The 16,480-nt window shown below is 40.6% G+C and overlaps 2 annotated features.

Moving 5' to 3' along the window:
- Positions 8,199-8,278: an enhancer, noted in NCBI's record as "active region_7644". NCBI's record gives its function as "activates an Ori minimal core promoter by ATAC-STARR-seq in GM12878 lymphoblastoid cells {active_cell/tissue: GM12878}" and the evidence as "EXISTENCE:reporter gene assay evidence [ECO:0000049][PMID:35858748]".
- Positions 11,649-11,718: a silencer, noted in NCBI's record as "silent region_5299". NCBI's record gives its function as "represses an Ori minimal core promoter by ATAC-STARR-seq in GM12878 lymphoblastoid cells {active_cell/tissue: GM12878}" and the evidence as "EXISTENCE:reporter gene assay evidence [ECO:0000049][PMID:35858748]".

Consider the following 16,480-nt stretch of genomic DNA (forward strand, 5'->3'; position numbering starts at 1 on the left):
ACAGTGGCAATATAATTTGTGAGTATCGTCTTGCTTCAACTCATCCGTCATGACTTTCTCACAGCTATTAAAACATGTTTTACAAGCAGAAACTTACATTTTAGATGAATAAATGCAGGCTCCTGAGGAAAGGCACTTTCATGATTGTTTGAGCTGTGAGCTCAACTATCTGCTTTTCCATGGAACACCATATTTGTTTGAAAGGCCAACTGATAGACAGGCTGTGGCTATTCAGACTTGTATATTTGGCAGGCATTTTGTAAAAAATAAGAAATCTGAGTCTGACATCACAAGGAAAACAAATGACAGTATTTATAGCCAACGATAAAATTTGAGCTCTTAAGTGAAAATTAGAATTTTGGGATACTTGCATATGCCACCATGAGCTTGGCAGCTTTGCAATACTTAAAGGCTTTTCTAATGAGAACAGCGGTCATATGAATGGATGTAATGTTTTGATATTTATACTAGAAGTGTCACTGTTTCAAAGATCTGCTGATATTTTCCCAAAGACCAATGCATGATGTTGCAAAGTGACATGGTTTGGCTGTGACCTCACCCAAATCTCATCTTGAATTGTAACTCCCACAATTCTCATGTGTCGTGGGAGGAACCCAGTGGGAGGTGATGGAATTATGTGTGGGGGCGGGTCTTTAATGCACTGTTCTTGTGATAGTAAATGAGTCTCATGAGGTCTGATGGCTTTAAAAATGGGAGTTTCGCTGCATAAGCTTTCTTCTCTTGTCTGCCACCATGTGAAACACGCCTTTCACCTTCCACCATGATTGTGAGGCCTCCTCAGCCACGTGGAACTGTAAGTTCAATAAACCTCTTTCTTTTGTAAATTGCCCAGTCTCGGGTCTGTCTTTATCAGCAGCATGAAAATGGGCTAATACACAAACAAAATTCAAAATGTAAGGAAGACTAATGGATTTTAATGTAATGGTTTTAGATTCCACGTTGCAGCCCATCTTTAAGAAACTACCACTTGTTCAGGTTTGGTGCACTATCAGAGAAGAATATCCCGATGATCTGAAATGGCTATTATACTGCTTACCCTCCTTTCAATTGCATATCTGTGTGAGGCTGAATTTTCTTCATATACTTCAACCAAAAGCATACCTTGTAACAGATTGAATGCACAAGTGGATTTGAGAGTCCAGCTGTCCTCTAGTAAGCCAGATATTAAGGAAATTTGCAAAAATATAAAACAATGCCAGTTTTCTCACTGATTTTTTAAATTAAAATTTTAAATTTGTGATACATGTAGATTTGCAGAAAATTGTAGAAAATAATACAGTGTGTTGAGCACTGTGGCTCATGCCTGTAATTCCAGCTATTCAGGAAGCTGTGGCAGGAAGATCAGTTGAGCCCAGGAGTTCGAGGCTGTAGTGAGCTATGATTGCACCACTGCATTCTAGCCTGGGGAGAGAGTGACTCTATCTTTTTGTATGCATGTGTATATTTAGTTCTGTGCAATTTTAATGCATGTGTGGTTTCATGTTTCTTCTGCCACAGTAAAGATATTGAGAAGTTCCTTCTCTACAAAGGTCCCTCCTGTTGTCCTTTCATGACCATATGCACCTCCCTCCTCCCAATCCTTCTCCCTATGATATGTTGTTTTTTCTGTTTATGATTGTTCCATTTTATTATTAGTTGATGTTAATCTCTTTTTAATTTTTAATTGACATGTACTAATTGTACATCTCTGTGGGGTACAGTGTGATATTTCAATACCTTTATGCCATGTGTAATGATCAAATCAAAGTAATTAGCATATCCATCACCTCAAACATTGATCATTTCTTTGTGCTGAAACATTCTAGCTATTTGAACACATAGAACAAATTATTGTTAACTAGTCACCTTACAGCGCTAAAGAACACTAGAGCTCATTTCTCCTATCCAGCCATGATCCTGTATCCACTAACCAATCTGTCATCTCCTCTCCCTCCTTCCTCCCCAGCCTCTCGATCCCCCTGTTCTATCCTCTACTTCTATGAGAGTAATTTATTGAGCTTCCACATCAGTCTCACTGTTTTTTTTTGTTTTAAAAGATATAGTTCTTTTTTTTATAAGAATATGTTATTTATGTTAACAGGCAATGGGTTTATTCTTTTTTTTTTTTTTTTTTTTTTTTTTTTTTTTTTTGAGACGGAGTCTCGCTCTGTCGCCCAGGCTGGAGTGCAGTGGTGCGATCTCGGCTCACTGCAAGCTCCGCCTCCCGGGTTCACGCCATTCTCCTGCCTCAGCCTCCCGAGTAGCTGGGACTACAGGCGCCCGCTACCACGCCCGGCTAATTTTTTGTATTTTTAGTAGAGACGGGGTTTCACCGTGTTAGCCAGGATGGTCTCGATCTCCTGACCTCGTGATCCGCCCGCCTCGGCCTCCCAAAGTGCTGGGATTACAGGCGTGAGCCACCGCGCCCGGCCGCAATGGGTTTATTCTTATTTTGTTTTATTTTTTTGAGATGTAATCTTGCTCTGTTGCCCAGGTTGGAGTGCAGTGGTGCCATCTTGGCTCACTGCAACCTCCACCTCCTGGGTTCAAGTGATCCTCCTGCCTCAGCCTCCTGAGTAGCTGAGATCATACCCGGCTAATTTTTTGTGTGTTTTTAGTACACATGGCGTTTCACCATGTTGACCATGCTGGTCTCGAACTCCTGACCTCAAGTGATCCACTTGCCTCGGCTTCCCAAAGTGCTGGGATTGCAGGTGTGAGCCACCACCCCTGGCTTATTCTTATTTTAAAATAAGTTACTACATATTAAAGAATCTTTTAGTTTTAATTTCTAACCGCTAAATATTGATAGATGTAACCACATAAATAGAGATCTTTGGAGTTCTCAGTAGCTTTTAAGAGTTTAAAAGGGTCCTAAGACTAGAAAGTTGGAAAACCACAAGAAACAAGTCAACAGACACCATTATCTTTTGGGTTAACTCTCTTGAATTGTTAGTAATGTCTTCTTTATAGAGTCTCATTGAATTTTTTTTTTTTTTGAGGTGAAGTCTCACTCTGTCACTCAGGCTGGAGTGCAGTGGTGGGATCTTGGCTCACTGCAACCTCCAACTCCTGGGTTCAAGCGATTCTTCTGCCTCAGCCTCCTGAGTAGCTGGGACTACAGGCACACACCACCACAACAGCTAATCTTTTGTATTTTTAGTAGACATAGGGTTTCACCATGTTGGCCAGGGTGGTCTTGAACTCCTGACCTCAGTGATCCGCCAGCCTTGGCCTCCCAAAGTGCTGGGATTACAGGCATGAGTCACTGCGACTGGCTGAGTTTTTAATATTTCTCACAGTGCCCATGATAGTGCTGGGCCTAGTATTCACTCAATAAATATAAACAGAATTGATGTGAATATCTTCATCAAGTTTATAAGCTTCATCACTGTGGTTGTGGCTTTTTTGGCAACAATGGACCCTGCGTATATAGGCGTTGCTCGCCAATTCTAGATGTGACTTGGAAACTGTGTGACTTAAAATGTGAAGCAGCTACCTATTTACCTCAGGATTTATCACTTTAAATCATCTTCAGTTTGCATATCAACTGATGTGATGACTGACAGGTTCACTTTGGTCCCTGTTTCTTTTCATCAAAGTTAATGATCACTCATCAAACCTAGAGAAGAAACTTCATAGTCACTAAGGAAAAAAGGATACAAAATCCTTCCCCTTAAGGAATTTACAAATTAAGGTGATTATTCTTTTTAGAAAAACTTGTGGGAATTTACAGGGGCTGTGGTAAAGTGGGTTAAATACAACGAATCCTAAGACAGACAGAACCTACCCCGTGTCCCCTCGAGTGGGTGGCCAGGCAAGTATGATGACAGACACATGCTGAGACATACAGGTTTAGAGTTAGAAACTGTCAGAATCTCTATTATTTGGTTGAGCTTGTCATTGTGAGCTTCTGTGGAAAGGAGACAAAATTCTAATAGCCATTGCAACACTAAAAACTTCTCTGGGTTTAAAATTTTTTTAATTAAAGACATAAGACTCAAGTAAATATTAATACAACTGCTAATAATGACAGTAATAAAACTCAGGAAATTTATTTTAAACTCACTTATATCCAAAGTAGTTAATAACAATTTTTGACTTTCATTATGCCTTCCTCCAGCCATTTGTCATGACTTTCTAAAAGCTATTAAAACATGTTTTACAAATGGAAGTTTACATTTTAGATGAGTGGATGCAGGTGCTTGCAAAAAAAAAAAAAAACCACTTTGTCAACAAGAGGGTCCTTATTTCTATCTATTTAATGGAAGAAAATCAAAACGTAGAAATCTGCCATTTAATCATGCAAGGTAGCATCACCTCAATGTAATCAGCTAACCAAAATCTCCTTGTTCAATTTACTAGTCATAAACCCAATTATTTAAAATTCAGGAAACAGATAAAGTGACCTGCATAGTTAATTCAGTTTTTCCCCCTTAAAATACAATCACAATTATTTATTGAGCACTGACAATTGGAAAGGCACTGGGCTAGGTACTGGAAAGAATTATAAAATGACATGGAATCTCTTCCCGTGGCACTTGGTTCATGCTTCCTTTAATTTTTTTCCCCCACTTCAAAGTACTTGAGGTGTCCTAGTCCATTTTGTGCTGCTATAAGAAAATAACTGAGACTGGGTAATTTATATAGAATAGAAGTTTACTTCTCACAGTTCTGGAGGTTAGAGTTTCAAGATCAAGTTGACTGCAGGTTCGGGCATCTGATGAGGGCTGCTGTCTGCTTCCAAGATAGCTCCTTGAAAACTGCATCCTTCAGAGGGAGGAGCACTGTGTCCTCACATGGAGGAAGGCGGAAGGCAAAGAGGAACAAACTCCCTTTGTCAAGTTGTTTTGTAAGGGTGCCTGATCCCATTCTTGAGAGAGGTGCTCTCATGGCCTAATCACTTCTTAAAGGCCCCACCTTCTAATACTATTTTAAATTTTGGAGGGGACATGTTCAAACTATAGCAGTCGAGTATGGTATTCTGATCACCATTGTATTTATCTGCTTCAGACAAATTTGGAGAATTTGACTTAAAGCACAGCTGTTGATAGCCCCAAATTCCATTCCAGCACTTCTTTGCTATATAGTCTGGCCATCATCCATCCCCCTTAGACCAGATGTAATACATTGTAGGATGAAGTAGGTGTTTCATGTGATGGAATGGGTATTAACCATCCCATAGATTGGATTAATTTTAGAATGTCACATCACTTCAAGTCTTGTTGGCATGCTCAGAACTTATGCTTTCTGAGGCAACTTGAGTGGCTGCCTACAGCAGGATGAATCCTGTGGCTTGTGACAAACCTGGCTTCTGCCTGTGTCTATGAGGCACCACGGCAAAGATGCCATGGCTCTGAATCCCAGCTTCACTGTGCTTAGTACATGGTCTGGAACAGAGAATGCACTTCATGTATCTTCATTATCACCACTGCCACAACTACCAGATGAGCTTAGTCAACCTGTTCACTGAGGCTTCCTGAGAGTGATGCCTATTTTATTTACCTTGCAATATTATTGTGAAAATTATAAGAAAGTTTGCATAAAAAGTAATTTGCATAGTGTCCAATAAAGAGTAGAATTAAGGAAAATGTAACTACTACTATTATTGATGTTGTTGTTACTATTATTATCACTACTGAGGCTGGAAGAATATCTACTTCTGCTGTGCCATCAGTACAATACATCATGACAATGGATTATAGCAATTATTGCTCTAAGGCACTGACATTTTCTAAACAGATAAAACATTGTATCAACTGCTGTTTTTATAATTTGGAACTGACATCATCATATATTTGTAGGCACACCATAAAAATCTCTTCATTAACACACTGATAGCATCTTTTATTTTCCTTCACTCAGAGTTTTTTTTTCTGCCAACAATTAGTCTTGATTTCATCAAAAGCAATGATTACCTAAAGGAATATTGACATTCTACAGAACTATGTCCTTCTTGCATTTTTGTAGTTGTCATGGGAAATTAAGATCAGATCAGAGTCATAGCTTATAGTATAGGAAATATATGGTTCAAAAACAGCACAAGGTATTTGATGTGGTCACCAGATAACCTTGAATTGTAGACCCTTGCCAAACACTGCAGAAATGCTTTGGGCTGGAGTGTTCTTGCTTCACAGACTTCTTCATTTTATGATTGCCAGAGTCATTGAAAATAAATTTTGGATTGTGCTAAAGGGAAATAACAAAGATACTATCTGGGATCAGTCTCTCAGATTTGACAGACAATTTCATGCTTTTAATTGATTCCAATCTTTGCAAAAAAGTGGAACGAAGTAATAGACAAAAATTAACAACAAAGATGCCAGAAGTGACTATCATTGCATGAAACTTTTGCTGTGTTGTTTGCAAATTGCGTTCCAGTACTATATTCTCATTTGTTGAAAGATATTAGAAAAGAATCCAATCCCCAAGCTTTGTAAAGATTTTGATGTTGTGGCATATAGTAATCGTATTCATTTCCCCCTTTATCCTTTTTGTATTATAATCTTCCAAGTTCTAATTGGGCACACAAACTCCTTTTCCTGGGGTAACTTAAGCTAGATATGTGATTAAATTCTGGCCAATGGGATGTGAGTTGCAACTTCTTGCTAATACCCTTTAAAAAGAAACTGATTGCTCTGTACTCTCTTTTACCCTTCCTTTGGGGCAGAATAAAGAGGAGGTGCTGCAGATAAGAGCAACATTCTAGGGAATGTTGCTAGGGCAACAAGTGGAAACACTTGGAAAAGTGTATTTGGCTCTATAGAAATTAGATTTAATTTTTTTTAAAAACAGAAGATGATCCTGGGTCCCTGGAGGACCTCATGGAGCAGAGTCAGCTTCTTGGCCTTGCCTTACCCACAACCTATGTGCTCCTCTGTTAAAAGGAAATATTTTTCCATTCTGCTTGAGGCACTGTGTTTTGTGTAACTTTGCTACAGCAACTTGGGCTATGCCCTAATACTAGATGTGTTCTAAATTTTCCACACTTGCTGTTTTCCCATTGGATGAAGGGCTTGTGAGACACAGCATATGTTAAAAAAAAAAAAAAGACTTCTCTATTACTCTTTTTCAAGGTGGCAGACAAAGTTCAAATTCACATTATAGGCTCTTTTAGTATATTACATGTCCTCAGCACTGGTACTTGGTTCCCTCCCTCCCTCCCTTCCTTCCCTCCTTCCTTTTTTCCTTCCTTCCCCTCCTTCCTTCCTCCCCCCACCCCCTTTGTCTTTCTTTCTTGAGACAGGGTCTAGCTCTGTTGCCCAGGCTGGAATACAGTACGTCCCATCCTTGCTCACTGCAGCCTCGAACATCTGTGCTCAATGAATCCTCCTGCCTTAGTCTCCTGAGTAGCTAGGACTGTAGGAGCATGCCACCATGCCAAGCTAATTTTCTATTTTTGTAGAAATTGGGTCTTACTATGTTGCCCAAGCCGGTTTTGAACTCCCTGCTCTTGACCTCCCAAAGAGTTGGGATTACACACGTGAGTCACTGTGCCTAGCCAGTACTCAATTTCATTTTGAAAGTTGTATTTCTGTTTTATTTTTGTTAAATGGAATTAAAATGTCTGTGCAGTGTCTATCATAACCTAGTACAAAAGCAATAAAACTATTGTAAGCACTAAGCAATGTGGTCATTATTGACTTCTTTTTCTAGCAAAGGAAAGAGATAGGAAAATGGCTTTTGCATGGGGAATTTAATGTGTCACAGAAAATGATATAGAAGATAATGTAAATTGTGATGATGTGAACGCGGAGTAGTTTGTGTCGAGCATGATGGCCAATGGCAGCTAACTATGCCCTTCTGGAAACAGATGCACCCCTTTGCGTATATCAAATCTCCAAGCTGCACTGCACCAAAAGAACCCTGGGCACCATGTTACTTAGCTGGAAGGAAATGGGGAAGCTGTGGGAACCCCTATAAAACTCCCTCTGACATATTTAGCCTGTGGCTTGTGGGTATTCACTCAAACTCCAGGAGTGTGGGTTACCTTTAGTCAAATCTGAAGGAGTTTTGCATCTGTCACCCAATGCAGAGCTGAAGGAGAGGGAGCAGGTGTGAAATACAACCCAGACTTCCTTTTTAGTCCCAGTGGGGGTACATTTTTGTCTCACTGTTACCCTTGGTAACTCTGGGATGGTAAATAGTGAGATGAGTAATTCAGAAAGTGGAAACGGAAAGTGTTACTATATCTGCTACGAAGCTTTGCATCAGAAAAGTACTTCCTTTGCTTCTAAAGAGACTTGAAGAGTTTTGGGCTTCTTCTTCTTCTCTCTAGGTAGCTTTTTATTATCTCATGTTATAGTTACTTACATAAACGTATTGCTGGGAATTCTAGTAGCACAGGGATTATAGGAGTTTCCTGTGATTTAACTAAATCACTGGTGTCTTCAATACCATGTCCATGCTTCCCCCACAAACATCAGAGAAAATGACTTCTTGGCATGGGAAGTTTATGAGTCCAGAAATAATCTATATTTAGTATTTTTGGCATGGAGCCCTCCATAATCTGGCTCCAGGCTGCCTTATTCCTAGGCTCTGCCTCTTCCCTCCGTGTGATATCATATCAGATGGCAGAGGCAATGGAACCATCAGACTAGATTGTGGTTTTGGGCCACAAAGCATGACCCATCAGTCTTTCAGATTCTTAGTAGATGGGATGACCCCATGAGCTTTACCACCATAATTTTATTTTTACACCCATGAAAGTCATGGGCACTAGTTGGTGAGATCCAGAGGCCAATCCTGAGGTCCTGAGATGGTTCTCCAGGAGGGAGGTGCGTAGGAAGTGAGAGGTCACACTGTCTTCTCACACTAACCTCAGCCTCAGGGTGTGAGGCCAGCTTCAGAGGGGAGACCACAGTTCTGGGGCCCAGCCGTTTCAGCCACTGCCTTCTTGCCTTCTTTACTAAGGTCGTTAACAAGCATACTCATTAGTGGCAATTTCCCTGGTGGTTTTTGTGATGTGGGATTTGTTTGCTATGAAATGGCTGAATCCGCAAATCATTTAAAATAGTCAATCCTACTGGAGATAGAAATAACTCCTTGCCTGTGTTGATCCTAGCTAGTGACCAGTGTCCAGGAGGTGAAATCTTGGGAAGAGAGGCCTGGGCTTCTGACTCAGCAGAAACCACCGTCTTGACATTTTTAGTCTTTTCTTTGGTCTTGTCCTACTATAGAGACTTCTTTCTACAGGCCAGATTTGACAAAATAGCCCTACCAAATCATAATCAGAGGTGCACCAGCCACCCTCCCCCAATAAATTTGGCCTTATTTCTTGTTACCCTGATGATGCTCAGGATTCATAATACATATCTCTAAGGAATCTCCAGATTTGTATAATACTTGAAACAGAATATCCAAGAAGAGGAGAAAAAGAAATGGCTACAATAGATCAGTCCTCCACCAGGAGTGGCTTGAATCTCAGGGGAGGTTTGACAATGTCTGGAGACATTTTTGGTTTTCACAACAATGGGAAGGGGGTTTGTACCACTGGTGTCTAGTGGGAGGTCCCAGGAAGCTGCTAAATGTCTTACAACATGCAGGACAGTCCTCTACAACAAAGAACTATTCAGTCCAAAATGTCAATAAGGCTGAAACCCTGAAATAGAGGAAGACAAAGAGGTCTTCATATATCCTGCAGTTTAAGAAATGGGTTTTAAATATTTACTGAGCATCTATTATGTATATAAATGGTGCTTTTTTTATGAGATGGTCCAAGGAATAAAAGTCACATTCACGAACATCAAAAAGTTTCCAGTTTACTTGGAGATGGTACATACACAATGAAATTGTGTGTTATTTATTACAGCAATACTTCACTTGCAATGGAGATTGATACTTATATTGGTTTGCTAGGGCTGCCATAATAAAGTTGGCTTAAATAACAGAAATTTATTTTCTTTCAATTCTGGAGGCTGTACGTCCAAGATCAAGGTGTCAGCTGAGTTGTTTTTTGCTGAGGCCTCCCTCCTTAGCTTGTAGGTGGCTGTCTTCTCTCTGTGATTTCACATGGTCTTCCTTCTGTCTTTGTCTGTGTCCTTATCTCTTCTTCTTATAAGGAGACCAGTTATTTTGGATTAGGGCCCACTCTATGTGCCCTCGTTTTAATGCAATGACCTTTTTAAATACCCTATCTCCAAATGCAATCACATTCTGAGGTACTGGCTGGTTAGGACTTCAACATATAAATTTGGGGAAGATGCAATGTAGCTCAGAACAGTACTCTCGGGTTATAACTTGGTAGCCAACGGTAGAAAGTTAAAAAGCAGCACAGAAATTCATTTTAGAGTATTATGTAAGAGCTGTCACACTAAGAAAAATATTTAAATTTTTCTAAAACTAAAAGAAGGAATATGCTTAAGAGATCTGTTGTACAACATGGTAACTGCAAAAGTCACAGCAAGTTAGTAATGGAGCTACTTTATAATTTACTTTCATCCTACCCTCAATTAATTTACTGGAATTCAACTACTGGGTAAAAGAAAACAAACAGAGAGGGCTTAGGGCAGATATCATGGGTCCTGGACCATTAAGCCTCAAACAGTCCAGCCTTGCTAGAAAGTTTAGGGGAAGAATTATGTGTTTAAAATAAACCTTAAAAAATTGAAGTATTATGATCATACAGAAAAGCGCACAGTCACCAGTGTTCAGCTTGATGAATTATGACACAGTGAGCACACCTGTATTAACCACAGCCAAGGTCAAGAAACAGAACTTCATCATAACCCCAGAGGTTCCCTTGTCCCACTCACTGCCAGCCCTGGTTTCTCTTCCTCCCTCTTGTAAACGATTTTAATGATTTTCCAGCCTCCCTCAGAGAAGAGAAGCACTTTGTTCAGGAGGCCTGGCCGAGGCTGGTGGAAGAGTGGAGGAATCAACTGAAGAATTAATTGAAAGTCATAGAGAAACAATGACCAACAAAGAATTGGGAGAACAGACACAGAATTGTATACGTATAGCCTTTTATTCCAGGCAGTATTCTAGGAACAGTTTAAGACATTTTTAAGGGCATTTTCCACTCTTTACGATTTTCACTTGAGTACTGTTTAGGTTTTAACCAAACTTCGTGTCATCTTAAATCGCCCTGAGAACCGGCGGGGGTTCTCTGCTCAGCGGAGGCTGAGGCTCTCAGCTGGCTCACAGCTTTAGGGAAGCTGCTACTTCCTCCTACTCACCTGCCCTTGAGCGCAGGGTGCACAGAGGGGAGGGGGCAGAGAGCAAGACGACTGGGCCAGCTCAGAGCCAGACAGTCCTACCTCAGTTTACTCATTCTGTCTCAGGGATGAGAGATGAACAAGGTCCCTAGAAAGAGAGTGAGTTGATTCAGCTGCCCTAGGGAAACAGCTCCATTCTGCTTATGGCCTCAGCCAACTGAGGTCCACAGTGCCAGATAACCTCACCCCAGCGTGGGGCTGCGGCCCACGCCCCCTCGTGAGAGGTGAAGCCAGCAGGACTTCCTGGGTCCAGTGGAACTTGGAGAACTTTTCTGTCTTACAAGAGGATTGTAAAATGCACCACTCAGCACTCTGTAGCTAGGATTGTAAAATGCACCAATCAGCACTCTGTAGCTTCCTAGAGGTTTGTAAAATGCTCCAATCAGTGCTCTGTAAAAATGCACCAATGGATGGTCTGTAGCTAGCTAGAAGTTTGTAAAATGCACCAATCAGTGCTCTGTAAAAACGCACCACTCAGCACTCTATAGCTAGCTAGAGGTTTGTAAAATGGACCAATCAGCACCCTGTAAAATGGACCAATCAGCACACTGTAAAATGGACCAATCAGCAGGACATGGGCGGGAACAAATAAGAGAATAAAAGCTGGCCACCTCAGTCAGCAGCAGAAATTTGCTTGGGTCCGTTTCCACGCTTTGTTCTTTTGCTCTTCACAATAAATCTTGCTGCTGCTCACTCTTTGGGTCCCTGCCACTTTTAAGAGCTGTAACACTCACTGCAAAGGTCCGCGGCTTCATTGTTGAAGTCAGTGAGACCGCGAACCCACTGGAAGGAACAAACTCCTGGACACACTCGCTGGTGCATTGGTGATGCAGCCCAATCAGATTAGCAACCCCTCCTCTTGGGGCAGAGCTAAGAGGGGTGTGTCCCTGTTATAGACAAGATTAGGAGCAATCAAGGGAGAACCACTGCACGTGCTAAGGAGGGTGTAATTGGGTTGGCTGGCTGTGGCTGAGCTGGGGAACAGGAGTGTGGGGTGCTGGGAGTTGGGTAGGGTGATGAGTTCATGTTGAGAAGTGGCGAAAGTAGGAAAGGAGTGACAGGCCAGACGTTGAAGGTCTTGAATATTGGGAAACAGATTTTAACTGTGTTGTATCTTGTAGGTTACTGGGAAACGGTTGTTGGATCTTGAGCAGAACAGTGACAAGGTTGTATTTCACGAAAATTGTAAATCAGTGGGGGGTGGGGGCCAGGGAGTATTGCGGGGAGAGAACGGAGCTAAGAGAGGAAGGGAGACCGTTGAAGGACAGGTGATGCACATCTAGATTAGCATGTGGCCTCCAGGAAATGGATGAAGTTTAGAGAAGTACTCAGTCCTAGCATCAGGCTTCAGACAAGGGGCAGGCTGGGGAGCTTCTAACAAAGCCCCGAGAAATTTTTTTCTTTTGGACCTGAGTGAGTAGCGGGTTGAGTTAATCATACTCTTCTGTGTATAATCACCGTCATCATTAGTTCACTGGCGCCCTCACTTAGTTTGTGTATTCATTTGCTTAGTCATTCATTTTTTTAATCCCCATTCTGCACTGTTGTTATTCTCCCCCCTTATATGCAGCTTGTCTAATGTTTGTGCTTTTTTGTTTCTGAGTGTTCTTTCAAAGTGTTTGTTGTTTTCTTGTTTGTATGTTATTTTAAAAACTTTTTATTGTGGAGGGGAATTTTGAACATATCCAAAAAGACATAGAAGAATATAATAAATCCCGTGTGCCCATCATTCATCCTTAACTACCATCAGGCCATGGCCAGTCCTACTTCATCTACATCCCATCCACTGCCTGCCTTCCACACATCAGATCATTTCTCCCATAAGTATTTGAGTGTGTTTTTCTGCAAGATAACACAACCACAAAATCCTCATCAATAGCTTTAAAAGAACAATGTTTTCTTAATATCAAAAAGCTAATCCTCAAATTTCCAATCTTCTAATGACTGTTATTTTTTCCACAGTTTGTTTATATGAGTCCAGATTTAAATAAGGCCCAAACATAGTGATTAAACATAGTGATTGGTTTATATTTCTATAAGTCTCTTTTAATTAGCAGGTTTCTTACCGAATCTGTTTCTTTTTTCCCCTACAGTTTGTTTGTTGAGAAACTCAGGTCTTTTGTCCCGTAGAATTTAACAAAGTGTAGATTTTGCTGATTGCGTCCCTGTGGTGTAGTTTAACGAGTTCCTCCGTTCTTTTGTAGTTTCTTTGAGTTGGTAGCTGAATCTAGGGATCTCATCACATCTGTATTTAATTTTTTTAACAAGACTGTTTCATGGTTTGTCTTGTGTTCTTTCGTCAGGATGTGCATAACGTGGTTGTCTCTTTTTTATGTGACATTAGCAGCCACTGATGATCAAAGCCTAGGACTATTTATTTTTGTATTACTTATCTATTGCTGTGTAACACTATTGATGCAAACTTAGTGGTTTATAGCAAAACATATTAATTATCTCAGTGTTTATGGATCAAAATCCAGGCATGAATCAGCTGATTCCTCTGCTTCCAGATGTCTCAGAAGTCTGCAAACAAGGTGTTGACCAGGGCTGGGGTGTCACCTGAGGCTTGACTAATATAGGATCCCCTTTCAAGTTTATGTGGCTGTTGGCAGGATTTCATTCTTTGGGGGTTGTCTAACTAAGGGCCTCATTTCCTTGCTGGCTGTTGGTCAGAGGCCACCGTTAGTTGCTTGCCCTGTGAGCCTCCCCATATAGCAGCTTAGTTCATCAACTTCAGCAGTACAGAGACCCATAGAGAAAGCCTGCTAGCAAGAGAGAGGCTACAATTGTATGTAACATAATCATGGAAGTGACACCCATAGCTTTTACATATTGTGTTGGTTGGAAGTAAATCACAGGTCCCATCCACACTCAAGGGGAGGGGATTGCACAATGGTGTAAGTATCAGGGATAATTGCAGGCTGTCTTAGAGTCTATTTGCCACAGTTGAGTTTGCAAACTGATGATATTGTAATTCTGGGATTTCTTCTTTGTTTACTAGCTGGAATATTTCTATAAGAAAAAACTTCTCCTTGTATTGTTTGACTATCCATGGTATATTTTAGAAAGGGATCAGAATAAATGCTTGATTCTTCCCTTTTACTTACCAGTTTTAAAAACTAATAAGTTGATTCCCTTGCATTCTCCAATGGTGGTCAATTACATGGGCAGGTATTGTTAATTATGTAAATATTGTGCTAAATATTGTATTCTGTTTATTTCCTTTTCAGAAACTCAGTACTGTGTTTTAAAGATCTATTCATAATGATGTGCGTACATCTGGTTCTTAGCTTCTACTTGTTGAAGAGTCTTCATGGTGCGTGTAACCCCTTTCACCTATCTACTCAGCCAATGGACACCAAGACTGCCTCCAAGTCTCTGCCACGATGACCATTCTCATACAGCTTCCCTCATGGACTCACACACCTGCAGTGGAATTGGTGAGTCATACAGTGTAACTAAGTAGTCAGTTTGCTTAAGTAGTGCCAGATTGCTTTCCAGAATGGCTGCACAAAGCTGTTCTCTCATGAAAATGATTTATTACCATATGTAGCTTAGCTTAAGGTGGGAGGAAACACCTTAGTATCTTCATGAATTTTATGCCCTTCACTAAGCTGAACTAAATTTCTTAAGAAGGTTTCCTATCAGAAGCATCCAAGTTACTCCATATCTCCAAAGCCACAGCCGTGCTGGGTGATGAGAGCTAGGAGACAGAATCTTATACTATTATATCCCAACCTCGACTATTGCAACCTGGTAAACTATGCAAATTCTATCCCAGGCCTCAGAGATGAGGGAGAGGAAGATGGGAAGAAGAAGGTATGATGTATTAGGCCGTTTTTGCATTACTTGTAAAGAAATAACTGAGGCTGGGTAATTTTATTTTATTTTATTTTATTTATTTATTTATTTTATTTATTTTTTTATTATACTTTTAAGTTTTAGGGTACATGTGCACATTGTGCAGGTTAGTTACATACGTATACATGTGCCATGCTGGTGTGCTGCACCCACTAACTCGTCCTCTAGCATTAGGTATATCTCCCAATGCTATCCCTCCCCCCTCCCCCCTACAACAGTCCCCAGAGTGTGATGTTCCCCTTCCTGTGTCCATGTGATCTCATTGTTCAGTTCCCAACTATGAGTGAGAATATGCGGTGTTTGGTTTTTTGTTCTTGCGGTAGTTTACTGAGAATGATGATTTCCAATTTCATCCATGTCCCTACAAAGGACATGAACTCATCATTTTTTATGGCTGCATAGTATTCCATGGTGTATATGTGCCACATTTTCTTAATCCAGTCTATCGTTGTTGGACATTTGGGTTGGTTCCAAGTCTTTGCTATTGTGAATAATGCCTCAATAAACATACGTGTGCATGTGTCTTTATAGCAGCATGATTTATAGTCATTTGGGTATATACCCAGTAATGGGATGGCTGGGTCAAATGGTATTTCTAGTTCTAGATCCCTGAGGAATTGCCACACTGACTTCCACAATGGTTGAACTAGTTCACAGTCCCACCAACAGTGTAAAAGTGTTCCTATTTCTCCACATCCTCTCCAGCACCTGTTGTTTCCTGACTTTTTAATGATTGCCATTCTAACTGGTGTGAGATGGTATCTCATTGTGGTTTTGATTTGCATTTCTCTGATGGCCAGTGATGATGAGCATTTTTTCATGTGTTTTTTGGCTGCATAAATGTCTTCTTTTGAGAAGTGTCTGTTCATGTCCTTCGCCCGCTTTTTGATGGGGTTGTTTGTTTTTTTCTTGTAAATTTGTTTGGGTTCATTGTAGATTCTGGATATTAGCCCTTTGTCAGATGAATAGGTTGTGAAAATTTTCCCCCATTTTGTAGGTTGCCTGTTCACTCTGATGGTAGTTTCTTTTGCTGTGCAGAAGCTCTTTAGTTTAATTAGATCCCATTTGTCAATTTTGGCTTTTGTTGCCATTGCTTTTGGTGTTTTAGACATGAAGTCCTTGCCCACGCCTATGTCCTGAATGGTAATGCCTAGGTTTTCTTCTAGGGTTTTTATGGTTTTAGGTCTAACGTTTAAGTCTTTAATCCATCTTGAATTGATTTTTGTACAAGGTGTAAGGAAGAGATCCAGTTTCAGCTTTCTACATATGGCTAGCCAGTTTTCCCAGCACCATTTATTAAATAGGGAATCCTTTCCCCATTTCTTGTTTTTCTCAGGTTTGTCAAAGATCAGATAGTTGTAGATATGCGGTGTTATTTCTGAGGGCTCTGTTCTGTTCCATTG

The sequence above is a fragment of the Homo sapiens genome, chromosome 13 (assembly GCF_000001405.40).
Source record: "Homo sapiens chromosome 13, GRCh38.p14 Primary Assembly".
In the NCBI taxonomy this organism is placed as follows: Eukaryota; Metazoa; Chordata; class Mammalia; order Primates; family Hominidae; genus Homo; species Homo sapiens.